At 43.3% G+C, this 15,352-nt stretch overlaps 1 protein-coding gene and 1 long non-coding RNA gene across 2 annotated transcripts in view, besides 1 other annotated feature; one reads left to right on the top strand and one right to left on the bottom strand.

The window, feature by feature from the left end:
* Positions 8,053-9,252: an enhancer, noted in NCBI's record as "BRD4-independent group 4 enhancer chr10:127262217-127263416 (GRCh37/hg19 assembly coordinates)". NCBI's record gives its function as "activates an origin of replication core promoter dependent on BRD2, P300/CBP, MED14 and CDK7 cofactors, and independent of BRD4, by STARR-seq in HCT116 cells {active_cell/tissue: HCT116}" and the evidence as "EXISTENCE:reporter gene assay evidence [ECO:0000049][PMID:35650434]".
* On the top strand, positions 8,776-12,850 carry TEX36-AS1 (TEX36 antisense RNA 1). The gene is made up of 5 exons (NR_023362.1): positions 8,776-8,954; positions 9,430-9,544; positions 10,285-10,406; positions 10,660-10,757; positions 12,616-12,850. It is a non-coding gene; the product is annotated as a TEX36 antisense RNA 1 (long non-coding RNA).
* Positions 10,927-15,352, bottom strand: part of TEX36 (testis expressed 36) — a 106,642-nt gene continuing 102,216 nt past the window's right edge. The window contains exon 4 of the mRNA NM_001318133.2: positions 10,927-11,279. Within this exon, the coding sequence (NP_001305062.1) occupies positions 11,154-11,279 (126 nt within the window). The 3' untranslated portion in view covers positions 10,927-11,153. The remainder of the gene's footprint in view (positions 11,280-15,352) is intronic.

Here is a 15,352-nt window from a genome sequence, read left to right on the forward strand (position 1 = left end):
ATAGGCTAATGCCATCGAAACTTGTCAAGAATGTTGTTTTCCCTTCTGATTGCGTTTGAGCTTCATTACCTTGCTTTTTCATGAAGTTCTTTTTTTTCTAAATGGAAATTAAAATAAAACAACTAGATCCTGGGGAACTGCCCCTTTCCAGGTTTTATCTGTCTATCATGTTTGAAATTTTTTACAATAAGCCCATATAATTTTTATAATTAGAAAAAGCAATTGACCTTCCTTAAAACAAAAGAAAACTGTTTTTTTTTTTTTCATTCTTGTTTTTGTCTGGCTCAGCCTTCTGTGGCTCACAGGAGTAGCTCGAGGTTTAAGGATGTTTATTCAATTGTGATAAACAACAGCAGATTTTTGTTTGTGCTTTCTGACTCTATGAAAGACGAGATACATGAAGGCCATTTCCAAGTAAGACAGCAAAATTAAAAGCAACAAAGAAGGTAGAGATAAAACGGTCATCATTTCTATCCTACTAAGCATTTGTCTTCAGTTTGTCTTTCAGTTCCCCGAAGCCATTCTGCACACTCTGCCAGGAATCAGCTTTGGCTTTAAAAGCCAGAGAAATTAACACACAGGAGTGGGAGTGGTGTGGCTTATGGAGGAATAAATTCAGCTGACACTGGCTCTATGACACTGCCACTCAACCTTGCCGGCAGTTTTAGTCACCTGGGGAGCTTTACAAAACACTGATATCTGTGTCCACCCCTAGAGATTCGGATGCCATCACTCGGGATGCGGGCCAGGTGATTCTATTGTGTAGTCAAAGTCAAGAACCTTCACTGGTCTCCTCCCCTTTCTACCCTCCGCTGCTGCCAAAGCCCTCCTTTTTAAAGTGTGGTCCAGGGACTCACAGCACCAGCAACACCTGGGAGCTTGGTAGAAATGCAGAATTTCAGACTCCGGCCCAGAACTTCTAAATCAGAATCTATGTTTTAATAAGGTCCCCAGGTGTACTGTGTGCACATTAAACTTTAACCTTCATAGCTCTTGCCCAGACTCATCCAGTCTCCAGAGGGATCTTCTGTTCTCTATTCTCTCCCATTTCAAAGCAATCTCCATATTGAAGTGATCCAGAATAAGCCACTGTGGCATAAAAGTTATTTTGAGCTGAAGGCATTTGAGTTTCCAAAATCCCTTATCTACCTAAAAGAAGAGCCTCCACAAAACCCAAAAAACTAAATTGTCATAAATTCCCTCCCCAGAAGCAACTCTAATCCCTACTCCCTGAGGACCAAAAAGTATCTGAGACACGTATCAATCAATTTGGTAACTTTATTTTGCCAAGGGTAAGGACACACCCGTGACACAGCCTCAGGAGGTCCTGCAGACACATGCTCAAGATGGTTGGGGTACAGTTTGCTTTTATGCATGTTAGGGAGACACGAGACATCAATCAATACATGTAAGGTTTGCATTGGTTTGATCTGGAAGGGTGGGACAACTCAAAGGGAGCAGGGCACTTCCAGATCATAGGTAGATTTAAATATATTCTGATTGGCAATTGGTTGAAAAAGCTATTGTCAGTAGAAAGGAATGTATGGGTTAAGATAAAGGGTGGTGGAGATCAAGGTTTTATTGTGCAGCCTCCAGGTAGCAGGCTTCAGAGAGACTAGATTGTAAATGTTTCTTATCAGACTTAAGGTCCATATTGATGGTAATGCTGGAGGGGTATAGTTAAGCATGTTCGACCCCCAGTTCCCATCATGGCCTGAACTGGGGGGTGCTGGGAGGCCTTTGAATTTTATTTTTGGTTTACATCTCAAACAAACTTCACAAAACCATCATATCTCTTATCTTTTCTCCTAAGGCCATATTTATTTTTCCAAAAAGACAATCGTTTTTCCATAAGTGACCCTTCTCCCCTTCGTCTAAGAAGTCATTTCTCCCAGAGGTGTCCCTTCCCCTGTTAAGATGATACATAAGCCCCAAATTCTAACTGCTTCCTTGGGTCACACTTCTTTGTGAACTCCCACACATACATATGTAATTAAATCTGAGGGTTTTTTTCTCTCGCTATGTTGTCTTTTTTTTTCAGTTTAATTTTCAGGCCCTCAATACAAAACCTAAGAGAGTAGAGGAAAAGGGTTCCCTCCCTGAAACTGTGCACATGATTACATCACATGCATGCTGATACGGACAGGAAGCAGAAGGGCGTTTCCCCAGCAAAGGCCCCGCCCCCAAGCCTGGAAACCCACGGCCCTAAATGGGAACAAGCTTTCCTGTTTTCATGCCCAAATGTTGCCTTCTCCAAGGTCACTCTGGCTCACCACACCCCTATCGTGTGTCCATATAAACCCCAAGCTCCATGAGCAGAAAAAAAGAAGAGTAGAAGAACGGCAGGGCGGTGAGGCAGAGAAGGAGAGAAGAGAAGGTGCGTCTGAATGTTGGGAGGGGTTCGGCTGGGGATGGTCAGAGAGGAGACTGGCCGAGGGACAGCTGGACTCCAGGGGGAAGATAATCTTCCAGTCCATCTCCTTTCCAGCTCCCCATCCATCCCTCTGAGAGACACCTCCATTACTCAATAAAATCCCCACATTCACCATCCTCCAAGTCCGAGTGACCTCATTCTTCCTGGACGCTGGGCAAAGACCTGGGTACCAAGAAGGCAGGGTATAAAAGGCTGTCACCCTGACTCTCCACTGAGCTGGTTTAACACTTAGCCATTTGTGAACAGCAACTGCTAAGGGCATTAATTGTAACACACTCTAGATGCTACCATGGGGCCGGAGCCCAAAAGTGCTCACCCTGGCTCCTGCACCTGCCTGTCTGCATGCTCCCTCTCCAGAAAAGGGTTTGAGCACACCGCGGGCCAAGCAAATGAGCCACACCCCTGTTGCAAGTCCTGCAAAGGGGTCAAGGAACTCTCTTGTTTCAATGCCTATAGGATAAATTATAAACTCCTTAACATGGCAACAAGACTGCTCAAAACTAGGCTCCAGCACACCTCTCTAGACATATGGTGTGTTCCAGGCTCCTTGAAACTTGGCCCATCAGACATGTTCAAACCTAGACATTAAAACCCTTTCATGAATCTGTGCCTTTGCACAGACTTCCCTCTCGTCTGTTTTTCTCTCTCTTCTCCCCTGGTGATCACTGACTCTTCAAGACCAGCTATAATGTTGTCCCATCCAGTATAGCTTTCTCTATTTTCTTCTACAAAAGGGTTCCCAATGCCCCCAGTCTGTGACCCTAGCACCTAGCATAGTACCTAGTACATAGGAAGTACTCAAAAAAAATGTATTTGAATAAATGGATGGATGGGTAGATGGACTAAAACCCTTGTTTCCCAAATCTCTTCATTTACAATATTCAAAAATATTTAAACGTTGGTTCTACCCTTAGTTCCAAACAAGAGGAACCTCTGTCCTAGGTTCTGAAATTCTGAGGGTTCTGCATATCACAAATACACACAATGAATGTTTTGAAAAATACACAGGGTCTGGGCGCTGTGGCTCACGCCTGTAATCCCAGCACTTTGGGAGGCTGAGGAGGGCGGATCACAAGGTCAGGAAATTGAGACCATCCTGGCTAACACGGTGAAACCCCGTCTCTACTAAAAATACAAAAAATAGCCAGGTGTGCTGGCGTGCGCCTGTAGTCCCAGCTACTCGGGAGGCTGAGGCAGGAGAATGGCATGAACCCAGGAGGCGGAGCTTGCAGTGAGCTGAGACCGCACCACTGCACTCCAGCCTGGGCGACAGAGCGAGACTCCATCTCAAAAAAAAATACACAGGTGAGCCGGGCACGGTGGCTCACACCTGTAATCCCAGCACTTTGGGATGCCGAGGTGGGCGAATCACAAGGTCAGGAGTTCAAGACCAACCTGGCCAATATGGGGAAACCCCATCTCTACTAAAAATACAAAAAATAGCCTGGTGTGGTGGCGCGCGCCTGTAGTCCCAGCTACTCGGGAGGCTGAGGCAGAAGAATTGCTTGAACTTGGGAGGCAGAGATTGCAGTGAGCTAAGATCATGCCACTGCACTCCAGCCTGCGTGACAGAGCAAGACTCTGTCTCAAAAAAAAAAAAAAAAATACACAGGTGCCTCTGTCCCATGGGATCTGACAAGTAATGCTGGCATAGTGCCACCTGCCACCTTAAACATTTACTCAGGTGACTAACATAGCTCAGGTCCCAGGGAAACACTTCTCTACATCTCTTGCCCTATTCCTTGAAACAAAAAGTAACTGAGCCTGAATGCCACAAAGGTTTGTGGGTTGTACCTGCATGTGTCAAAAACAGACACTGCTTCAAAATCAGGGAGGACCTGAGCAGTAGAAGTGCTTAGGTAAGATAAATCACTAATTAATTACCTTATCAACTCCATCTTCTGAGATCAGGCAAACAAAATGGATTCTCACATAAAGAAGCATTTTTTCTCTGTGGTACTGAGAGTCTATTTTCTTCTGTCTCTTCATATTCTAATTTGTGGCCCAGAAGTCCTGAAGAATTAGTGCATAATTTGCAACTGTTGCATCTAATATCTGAAGAATATTTTTCAATAGTTAAATAATTCATATTGCTCTTAAATTTGCATGTATGTGGATCTAGCTATGGCATGCATGAAGCCTGGTACCAACTCCTACATGCACAACTAGATGGCCATTGAACACTAGAATTGGAAGTAATCCTGTTATTGTAAACTATTCAATAAGATAGAGCTAAATTTTCAAAATTAAATTAAAAATTTTATTTCTTAAAAATGTTTCATTTTTATATTTGTTAATGATGCTATTTTTTATTTAATTTTAAAATTTAACATCTCTTAAAAGTAATATTTAAAAATATAAAGATAATTTTTTTGTCACATTTGCTTTTTATTTTATTTTATTTTTTTCACGTTTGCTTTTTAATACAAATATATTTAAATTGTTTTTTCTTAAAAGACAATTACATTCTATTTTTAGTGTTTAAATGACCGAGAATAAATATAAGGCAAGATCATGACAGGAATAAAAATAGTAGAACGCAAAAAGAAAAAAACTAAAAAGAAAAAAAACCTATAATACCTTCAAAGAAATGGTTTGCTTAAATTTTGTAAAACTGAAATAATAAAAGTGAAAAGTCTTATACAAAAGCATGAGACACATAAAGTTTGCTAGTAAGACATTACAACTGCTACATTTAATAAAGTTTTAATTATGAATCAAAACAAGATAAATGAGCAAGAAAATGATTCTCATCAAATTCACAACTTCAAGAGGTCGATGAAATCCCTGGAACTTCACATTCTTCAGTACATGAAGATTTAATTAGTGCTCAGAGCAATGAGAATGAAAAAGAGGATTGTTCATAACCAATTCACAACTCAGGAGTGCAACTCCGGCTTGCCCTTTAGAAGGGGAAGAAATATCCGCCTTGAAGGCAGCAACCTGGATGAGAAAGAGCAAGTCTCCAGAGCACCCCTCATTAAAGGTCGATCCTAAAAATGGCACTCATCCCCCTCACAGCATGAGAATGTTTCTAGCAAAACACAATCTGATTCAAATTAGCAAATACGATGTTTCACTGGGTGAGCATGGCAGGAAACTTAGTATTTCATTTTAGACCAACATTCTTTCAAATGGAAAAAGAATATCTAGAGACAGTTTTTCATATTTCAAAGTGAAAACTTGAACTTTTTGATTATATGGGTTACGTGATTCACACCAATTTTCCAGATGAGTTTTAGCCAAATAAGTTATTTTTGACCAGAAACATTTGGATTTTTAATTAAAATAACACAAAATGTCATTCACACCATAAAAAAATACGCATGCAAATACTAGACATTTAAAAATAGGCCAAACCCCCAATAATATTCAACAATGATAAGCGCACACCAGATTAGAACATTGTTGTGATGTTCTGAAAAAAAATATTAGGGGTCCAATATGTAACCAAGAGAAATGATGCTTTTCACGTATTAACAAGCACCATATTCATAGAAGCAATAAAAGAATTCTAGGTTTAATAGAAATAACTCCAATTTTTATGCTAGAAGGGCCAAAAATGTAATATGAATAAAAGTAATAAAACAATCACTATCTAGGATGAATAATTCAAAATGAGATTACTAATTTAGTAGGTAATAGAGTGAGAGAATAAATCATACGTAACACACAAAAGTAGGTAAATATTACTCAATGCAATTAGATGATGGTAACAGGGACAAAGATCATGTTGAACAACTAACATATGTGATATGTATTGTTGAAGAATGAAACAAGAACATATTAATTACATTGTCTCCACACCTAGAAGTACAGGTTTTGATTTAAATGAGGAACTGGAAAGATAACTTACAATTTTAGGAATTAAGTTAAAAGATTGTGAAGCTAAGTCTATGAAAATGGCAGGAACATACTTGGTAAAGGAAAAGGTGTATAGGTCAGAATTTTGGCCGAAAATTCAGCAGCATCCACTGTAAAGCCCATAGTATAAATCTGTTGCTAGGACACGTGGTCTCAACTTGACCTGTGGTAATGCAACTTTCAGAACAATTAAGCAAGTCTGAAGGGTAGTTTCTGGACCCACCCAAAGAGGGAACATCTTCGTGAAACATATATCCAGTTTGACCTTACAAGCTCTCTCAGCATATGGTGGGAATGCCAACTAAATGCTGTTCAAGGAATTAGATTTCATTTAAACAAGACAGGAGAAGAGTTAGGCAAAGTAACAGAAGATCTACAAAAAAAGTGCATGAATAGAAAATTAAATTTACTTTGAATTTGCACTATCCATAATCTTTTGGTATACATTGTTGCTTGCTCTCAATTATATTATCAGAAGCTTTCAAAAGAAAAAATAATTTAAGTGTGGCTACCTCATCTTTTAAATATTAAAACGAATTTTTTGAAATCTTAAAGGAAGAGTTTTCTAAATCAAAAGAAAATACACGTAAAATGTGTGACATTCCAATAAAATGTAAAGAAATTAGAACAAGGAAACAAAAATAATTGTGTCACTGGGAAGAAGAGCTACATAAAAATAATTCCCAAATGAATTTTCCTTAGATAATATTTTGGGGGTACTGTGGATCAGAGAAGAGTCTTAGTTGAGTAGGGATATGAAAAAATTGAGCAATTTACTGACATTTTCAGCTTTCTTCATAATATCCCAGCATTGAAAAATTTGAAAGAAGAAATTGAGAAATATTAAATCAATCTAGACACTGCTTTAAGAGATGGCTAAAATTGCTAAATACATGGTTATTGTATATATGACAAAATTATAATAATTTATAACATTTTCTGCAATAATTTATCATATTACATACATGATATGTAAAATTCATGGTCTATTTTGGCATCTAAGTATTACTGGAAGAAGTTTATTGATGACTTCAGCAGCTACTGCTTCAATTTGAAGTTAATAAAAAACTAAGAACTATGATAACTCAAGAAATGTTGTCTAATTTGGCATTATTCCATGTGACATGTAAATTATATGGAAATCTTTATTATAACAAGATAATTAGTGATTTTACTGAAATAAAAATGAGAAATATAAATTTTATGGAATAAGTATATAATTTATGAGTTATGCATCCCAATTTTATTACCAATCCATCACCGAGCCATCAGTAAAATGCTTAAACATACACAATAATAATTAAATTTAGTTTTCTTTGAAATTTTGCCAACTTTCTGTCATGTACAAACTACAAACATATTTTTACCATATTTAACACATTTGTTTTTAGCATGCACTCATGTGCTGGGCCCCACCAATGTCAGGAGTTGACCTTCTTGTACCCAGAGACAGACATTTCACCCCAGGCTCATCCACTGTCGCTCCTGGAACTTTAGCAACACTTTCATTTCTCTTCACCCTTTGTTTTTTAACTCAGCAGCTGGGAGGAAGTGGGGGTTAGGGGGGCACCGAGCATTGTACTTCCCTGCAGACCCCCAGGGGCTGGGGCTGCTGAGGGGCTGCTCAGCACCTGTCCCGACCCCTCTGCTGCCCTCCTGGCTGCTGATGGCTCCTGCCAGATGCCCTGTTGTAGCAGGATGTTGTTGGGAGTATGGCCACCACCACCACCTACCTCCCATGTGGACCACTTGTGCCACCCAAGAGGGCCTCCCTCTCTCCCCAACCTCGGTTCAGTAAACCCAGGGACCCCATGCGTACCTCCAGAAGTGCAGCTGTGTTCTCCAAGCCCAGTGACTGACAGCTCCCCCTAATGCCATGGCTGCCGTGAGGGAGGAGTAGCTCCCCCAAGTTTCCCCAAGGTGGGCCCTGCAGCCCCCGTTCAGCCTTGGCGTGTTGCCCTGGCTCCCCACATCTACGGATTTGGGGCCTTCTCTTCTTATTGATTTCCTGTCACTGCAATAACAGATTCCCACAGACTTAGTGGCTTAAAACAACACAAATGTATCATCTCACAGTTCCAGAGGGTGGAAGTCCAAACCGGGTCTCCCTGAGCGAGGGTCAAGGTGTTGGCAGGACTGCTTCCTTCTGGGGCCTCGAGGGTGAATCTGTGCTCTTGGCTTTTCAGGCTTCTAGAAACTGCTTCATTCCTTGGCAGTGGCCCCTCCCTGGATCTTCAAAACCAGCAATGGCAGGTTGAGTCATTCCCATGTCACCTGATGGTGACTCTTTCCTGCTTCCGTCTTCTACTCACGGGGACCCCTGTGATGACTTTGGGAGCACCTGGATGATCCAGGAAACTCTCCCCATCTGAGGGAATGGTTGGCAACCGTAATTCCAACTGCAACCTTCATTGTCCTGTGTCATAGCATATTCACAGGCTCTAGGGACTAGGTTGTGACATCTTCAAGGGGCCATTATTCCACCTCCCACACCTTCCCAACCCTGGCTGTGCTGGCCCTGACTGAGAGGAGGGGGTTTCCACTTCCGTCACCTGGCAAGGGAACCTCCACAGCCCAAGAATATTAACATTTATCAGGTGCCGGGCATGGGCCTCATGTGTTTTATGTAATTCAATCCTCCCAACAAAAGTATGAGGTAAGTAAAATAATTCCCACCATTGTACAGGTGAGGAAACGGAGACATGGAAGGACTTGGTAGCGAGACCAAGGCCCCATAGCTAGAAATGGACAATGCTGAGATTTAAGGCAGAACATGGATTCCTACAGATTGATTCGGGTGGCCGTTCATCGGGGAACGGATGTTTATTGCCCACCTCCTAGTGCCAGGCGTAGTGCCCAGCTGGGGACACAGAACAGGGAACAGCACCGTTATGACCTCTGCTTCTCTGTAGGGAGGACTTCTCCCACACGGAGAACTCGGCTCTAGAATTGGATAGGGGCGAAGGTGATGGTGGGCTGAAAGGAAGGAGCGGGGACAGGCAAGCTTCTCCCACCCTGCAGTCTCCCCTCCTCCATTTCGTTTTGTATGTAGCAGCCAGGGTTGTTCTTAAACCCAGACCTGACAATTCTCTGCTGAAAAACCTTTCATGTCACTCCACTGCTCTCACCAGAAAGACCACACTCAGGCCAAGCACTGTGGTTCCCGCCTGAAATCCCAGCGCTTTGGGAGGTGGAGGCAAGAGGATTGCTTGAGCTCAGAAGTTCAAGACCACCCTGGGCAACACAGTGAGATCTCATCTCAAAACTTTTTAAAAAAATTAGCCAGGCAAGGTGGTGCATGCTTGTAGTCCTAACTATGTGGGAGGATTGGTTGAGCTCAGAAGTTTGAGGCTGCAGTAAGCTCTGATGGCACCACCGCACTCCAGCCTGGGCAACTGAGTGAGATCTTGTGTAAAAAAACAAAAACAAAACAAAACAAAATCCTCTTAAACCTAGCTTATAAATCTTTAAACATGGGGCCTCCCCACCTCCCCAACCCATTCCCTCATCTTTCAAGACTCCTCCGCCCACAATCTATGCCCCAGACAGCCTGAAACCCCTTTCTTCCACGTCTTGCCTCTAGGCCTTTGAACATGCTGTTTCCTCAACCAAGCCTGCCTTTCCTGCTTCCCCCACCTCTCACTGCCTTTGCCATCTCCTCCCCTACCTCCTACTCCCCAACAGGACTTGGCTCAGAGCCATTCCCACCTAACTCCTTCAATGGGCGGCAGCCCACTAGAGACTCCATTTTCCTATTGCACACTTGCCACTTCCTCATCTTTGTTCGTGACCAGATGCAAGTTCCTTGAGGTCAGGGGCTACCCGTCTAATCTGGTGTTGTACCGCCAGTGCCTGACATGGTGCCTGGCTTATGATGCTCAGAATATTTTTGTGGGTGGCTAGATGGATAAATGGATGGGTGAATGAATGGACTGACTGGTGCCTCAATTTTCCTGCCTTAACCTGTTAATCCACTGCTACATCAGAGCCAGCCCTGCAGCACAGCCTTCAACATGAGCAACTCCTGCTCTCTGTAGCTCCAGCCCCAGCCTGGACCTATCTTTCAGAGCCATAATGCTGAGACAGTCCCTGAGTCTTGGATGAACACGTGAGTACCTCCACGTGGTAACTGTGAAGGAGCCATGGCACACCCATCTTTCATGGAGCCGGGGCCTGCCCACCTCCTCCCTGGGCCAGCCACACCAGTGTTCCCAGTTCTTGAGTCCCTCTGGGTCCTTCCTGCTCCCCTAACTCCTGGATGGCTCTGCCTGAAGGACAGTCAGGACAATGCACAGTTCAGACGTGCTCTTGCTGCATGGGATGGGCCCTGCATGTGTAAAAAGCTGTGTGTTTTTCTGTAGAGGACTCACAGTGTCTACACCGGACAGTTTCTGTTTGCACGACGTTGAGTAAACTTCACATCCATCGGGGAAGTTACCCTTTGGGATTACTGATGAAGGTACTCCTTTTGAGATGCTCTCATACAACTCCAAAAGATGCTCTGTCAGGGGCAGAGTGGTCCTATCTGATTTTTAGGGTTTATACATTTACTCTGAGAGTGAAACAACAGGACAAACATCATCTCACTGGCTTAAGAGGGCAGACAAAAAAGACCATTAGACAGATCATTCTTCCTGCCAGGGAGATAGCCCTATTAATACCTGCGCCCACACAGGCAAGCAGAATAAGAGGATTTCTCCATAGCTGGAAATTTATTTTTCCAAGAATGCTGAATAAATCCTGGTGGTTACTAACTAGCTAGGCTAAGACAAAAGGTCCTTTTCTTCCCAACTAATACACATTCTATTAGTCAGGACTCTGGGGAATGGGTGACAGAAACTTGCTCCCAAAGAGCTCACACTGCAAGGAGGGGTGCATTAGTTCTCAGGCCTGGATGAGGAATGGACTGGGTCCTCACCGGCTCATAGAACTCTTGTCTCTTGTCTGGTTCTCCCTGTGGGTCCGTTGCTGTCATTCTTTCCTGTGAGGAAGAGGGAAGATGTAGAACCATGAGTAGTTGTGTGCTTAAATCCTTGTAGTTCAGCAATCAGAGAGGAAAGGGGGCCTTATTCTCCCTGCCCAAGCTTTAAAAACACCCCAGAGAAGGATTTAGTGAGACTTAGCCTGAGCCCTAGGCCCATCCATGAACTGGGGCAAGGGAATGGGATATCATTACTGGCTCAGTTGGGTCTATCTCTCTGACTGGAAGGATGGGGTACAATGAGGGGCAGCCCTCAGCAGAAGCACAGGGTTGAAACCAGGAAGGAAGTTTTCCAGGAGGTCTCAGGTGCTCTTCTGCATGGACAAAACAGTAAATATCAGGCTGGGTGCAGTGGCTTATGCCTGTAATTCCAGCACTTTGGGTGGTGGAGGCAGGAGGATTGCTTGAGCCCAGGAGTTGGAGACCAGCCTGGGAAACATGGCGAAACCCTGTCTCTACTAAAAATACAAAAAATTAGCCAGGCATGTTGGCGCACGCCTGTAATCCCAGCTGCTCAGAAGGCTTGAGGTGGGAGCATCACTTTAGCCTGGGAGGCAGAGGTTGCATTGAGCTGAGATTGCACCAGTGCACTCCAGCCTGGGGTACAGAGTGAGACTGTGTCTCAAAGAAAAGAACACACACAAAAAAATTGAATATAAGTATTCATTATTTTAAATCATAAAAAATAATTTAAAATGTGGAGTGAAAACATCACCCATAATCCTGTCATCTCCAAACAACTGTAATTAACACGATAGAGTATTTCCTCCAAGTCTTTTTTCTCCAGGCACGTGTACGTGTTTAATATAGTCCTGCCATATTGTATAGACAATTTTGCATCCTGCTCTTTTTACTTAAAATTATAACAGAAGGATTTTCTCATGTTATTTCCTTTGACTCTGTTCCCTGCACAATCCACTTCCTTTCCTACTCAGCTCTTTGGCAGAAAAAGTTTGTAGACTGCACAAATAACTGGAAGGAGTACTGACTTTTTTTGGTTTCCGGGGGAATGTGAGCAAAGAGAGGAGAAAGAAAGATTAAAAAGGGCAGGTCTTGGTGACTCTCACAGGGCTGCTGAAATAAACAAATGTCATATTCTATGAGAGCATGCCTTGAAATGGCTATATTTATCAGCATTATAGTCATTAATCACTAAATTTATTTTTCCCCATTTTTTAAATAACTGAGTCCACTGGACAGCCTTGAATGCTAGTGGAGGGTGGTGCTCTCCTGCCACAGCCCACTGCAGGGAAAACAGTAATTTCCCAGAGAACCTATGGATTTACTGTGGGATGTGGGCGATAACAGGGTTTTCTAAAAGCACTTTCTGCTTCAGGTGAGGAGAAGATGCTGTTCTGAGAGCTGCTGATAATACGTGGATCCAAACCCACAGGCTTGAGCTGCTTAATTGAAATTCACGTCAAAATGAAATTCTGGTTTAGCTCAACTTGACTACTATGGATGATGAAAATAAATCCCTGGGTCACACAAGGATAGTGATTGAGTAGAGCTTGTTTGCTGGCACAGGAATGACATTTCAACTGGAATTAAATTGTCGTCAGTTAACAGAACTGAATTTTCAGTCATTCTTTGACTTGAATTTTCTTTTTTCCCAAGATAACATGGACAGGACCCAGGTATTTTCAATGACTCAGAAAAGAGTTCATTTGGCTATGGGCTTACCCAGCTTTAAACGGGCTCTGCTGTCCCTGAAGAACAGAGCCAAGGGAAGGTGGGGTACCTTGTCGTCCCTCCTCCTCTCATTTTCCATCCTGTCTGTCCGGTCTATAAACATTCTGTGGCTCTACCTCTAGAATCTCCTCTGCTACACCCATGGCCAGACCACCCCATCTCATGCCTAGACTACTGTGGTCCCTTCAGCCATTATCCCCACAGGAGTGAGAGCAACCTCTCAAAAACCAAACCCACCTGTGCCAATCCCCTGCTCACAGCCCTCAATGGCTTCTTGTTGCCCTGACACCAAAACCCTCATTTGCAGCCCTGCTGATGGACTCCCTTTCCGACCCACCTCTACCTTTCCCCACATGCTGTGCCCTGGTCGCCCATGCCTCCTTCCTAGTTCTTGAAGCCCCCAAACTCGTTCCTGCCTCAGGGCCTTGGCACATGCTCATGCCTCTATCTGTCTCCTCCCCAACTCGTTACAGAAAGGACTCCTGATTAGTCAGATATTGACTCAAAAATGCCTTCCTTGGTGAGGCTTCCCTGAATAACTTCTGCTTTACTTCATTTCTGGCACACTCATTCTTGGAAAGAAGCTTGCCGTATTAGTCCGTTCTCATGCTGCTATAAAAAACTGCCTGAGACTGGGTACTTTATAAAGAAAAGAGGCTTGATTCACTGTTCCTTATGGCTGAGAAGGCCTCAGGAAACTTACAATCATGGTGAAAGAGGAAGCAAACACGTCCTTCTTCACAAGGCAGCAGGAAGGAAAAATGCAGTGGGAAGGGGGGCAAAGCCCCTTATAAAACCACCAGGTCTCATGAGAATTCACTCACTATCATGAGAACAGCATGGGGGAACTGCCTCCATGGTCTAATCACCTCCCATGAAGCCCCTCACCCAACACGTGGGGATTACAATTTGGATTACAATTCAAGATGAGATTTTGGGTGGGGACACAGTCAAATCATGTCACTTGCTTTCTCATTCCTTCAAGCCCATCTTCTTGCTCTGATTTGGTTTGGATTTGTGTCCCTGCCCAAATTTCATGTTGAATTGTAATTTCCATTGTTCGAGGAGGGTCATGATGGGAGGTGATTGGATCATGGGGGTGGATTTCCTCCTTGCTTTTCTCATGATAGTGAGTGAATTCTCGTGAGACCTGGTTGTTTAAAAGTGTGTGGCGCCTTCCCTTTTGTTCTCTTCCTCCTTCTCTGGCCATGTAAGACATGCCTGCTTCCCCTTGACATTCCACCATGATTGTAAGTTTCCTGAGGCCTCCCCAGCCATGCTTCCTGTACAGCCTGTGGAACTGTGAGGAAATTAAACCTCCCTTCTTTATAAATTACCTAGTCTCAGGTAGTACTTTAGCACAATGTGAGAATGGACTAATACAGTCTCCCCAGTTTGAAGTAAGCTTCTTGAAAACAAGAATGTTGTTAGATGTTGGTCAACATGATTTAGAAAGTACCTGTTGGGTACTTAATAAATATTAGTTGAATAAAAGAATAAATGAACATGCAGCTCTGAAAAGGCATGGTCTGTATTATTAGACATGGAGGAGGATATTTTGGAGTGTCAGCTTCTCTCCAACCAATGGCTGCTTGGTTTTTACCACTAGTTTCTTGCACATTGGACTTGTCTTTAAACCATGAAAGGATCCCTTTAACACTCATTAAAGTCAGGCAAGTGAAAGTCTTATTTCTAGTACAGGAAAGCAAAAGCGTGACTCTAACTAAAATGTCAAGTGCCCTAAGGTGTGAAAAATATTTAAAAACTTTCCATTTGCTCTTTTGTGGTAGTACCCTTTGTCAAAAGGTTTTCTCCAACTTTATTCATGCCTGATAAATGGAAGAGGAGAGTTTTCCCAGAATACCATAAAATACACCAGCTAGACAGGGCTATGAGATTTAAGTGGCTTCCTGCCTGTCCCAGTGCCTGGAGGGGTAAAGGGGAGGAAAGAAACTTTTGAGCTTGAAGACTGCTGGAGGGAAGAAAAGAGAAAACATAAACTTAGGTCCCAGAAGCTTCTGAGATGGAAGGGATCAGACCCCAACCCTTGTCACCAAGGGCCCACATTACTGAAGCCCGCTAGGTGGGCTGGCTGGTCCTGGTCAAAGTCCAATGACCAGAAAGGGTGCAAGCTTCTACTGACCTCAGCCTCCCGCTTCCAGTTACAGGCCCCATCCCTCTGACCAGGGGTAGGGAAATGACCCATCCCGGCCCAATCATAATCTTCCATCACCCTGACTACCATGATTGGCATAGGGATGGTCACATGACACAACCAGGCCCATCAGAGTCCTTTCCTGGGACTTTCCTGCCTGGAGCTGGAAGGGAAGAGTCCTCTATAATCTCTAAGGACCTCAACCCAGAGTGGCCTGAGATGGAGC

This window comes from Homo sapiens, chromosome 10 (assembly GCF_000001405.40).
Source record: "Homo sapiens chromosome 10, GRCh38.p14 Primary Assembly".
NCBI classification, from domain to species: Eukaryota; Metazoa; Chordata; class Mammalia; order Primates; family Hominidae; genus Homo; species Homo sapiens.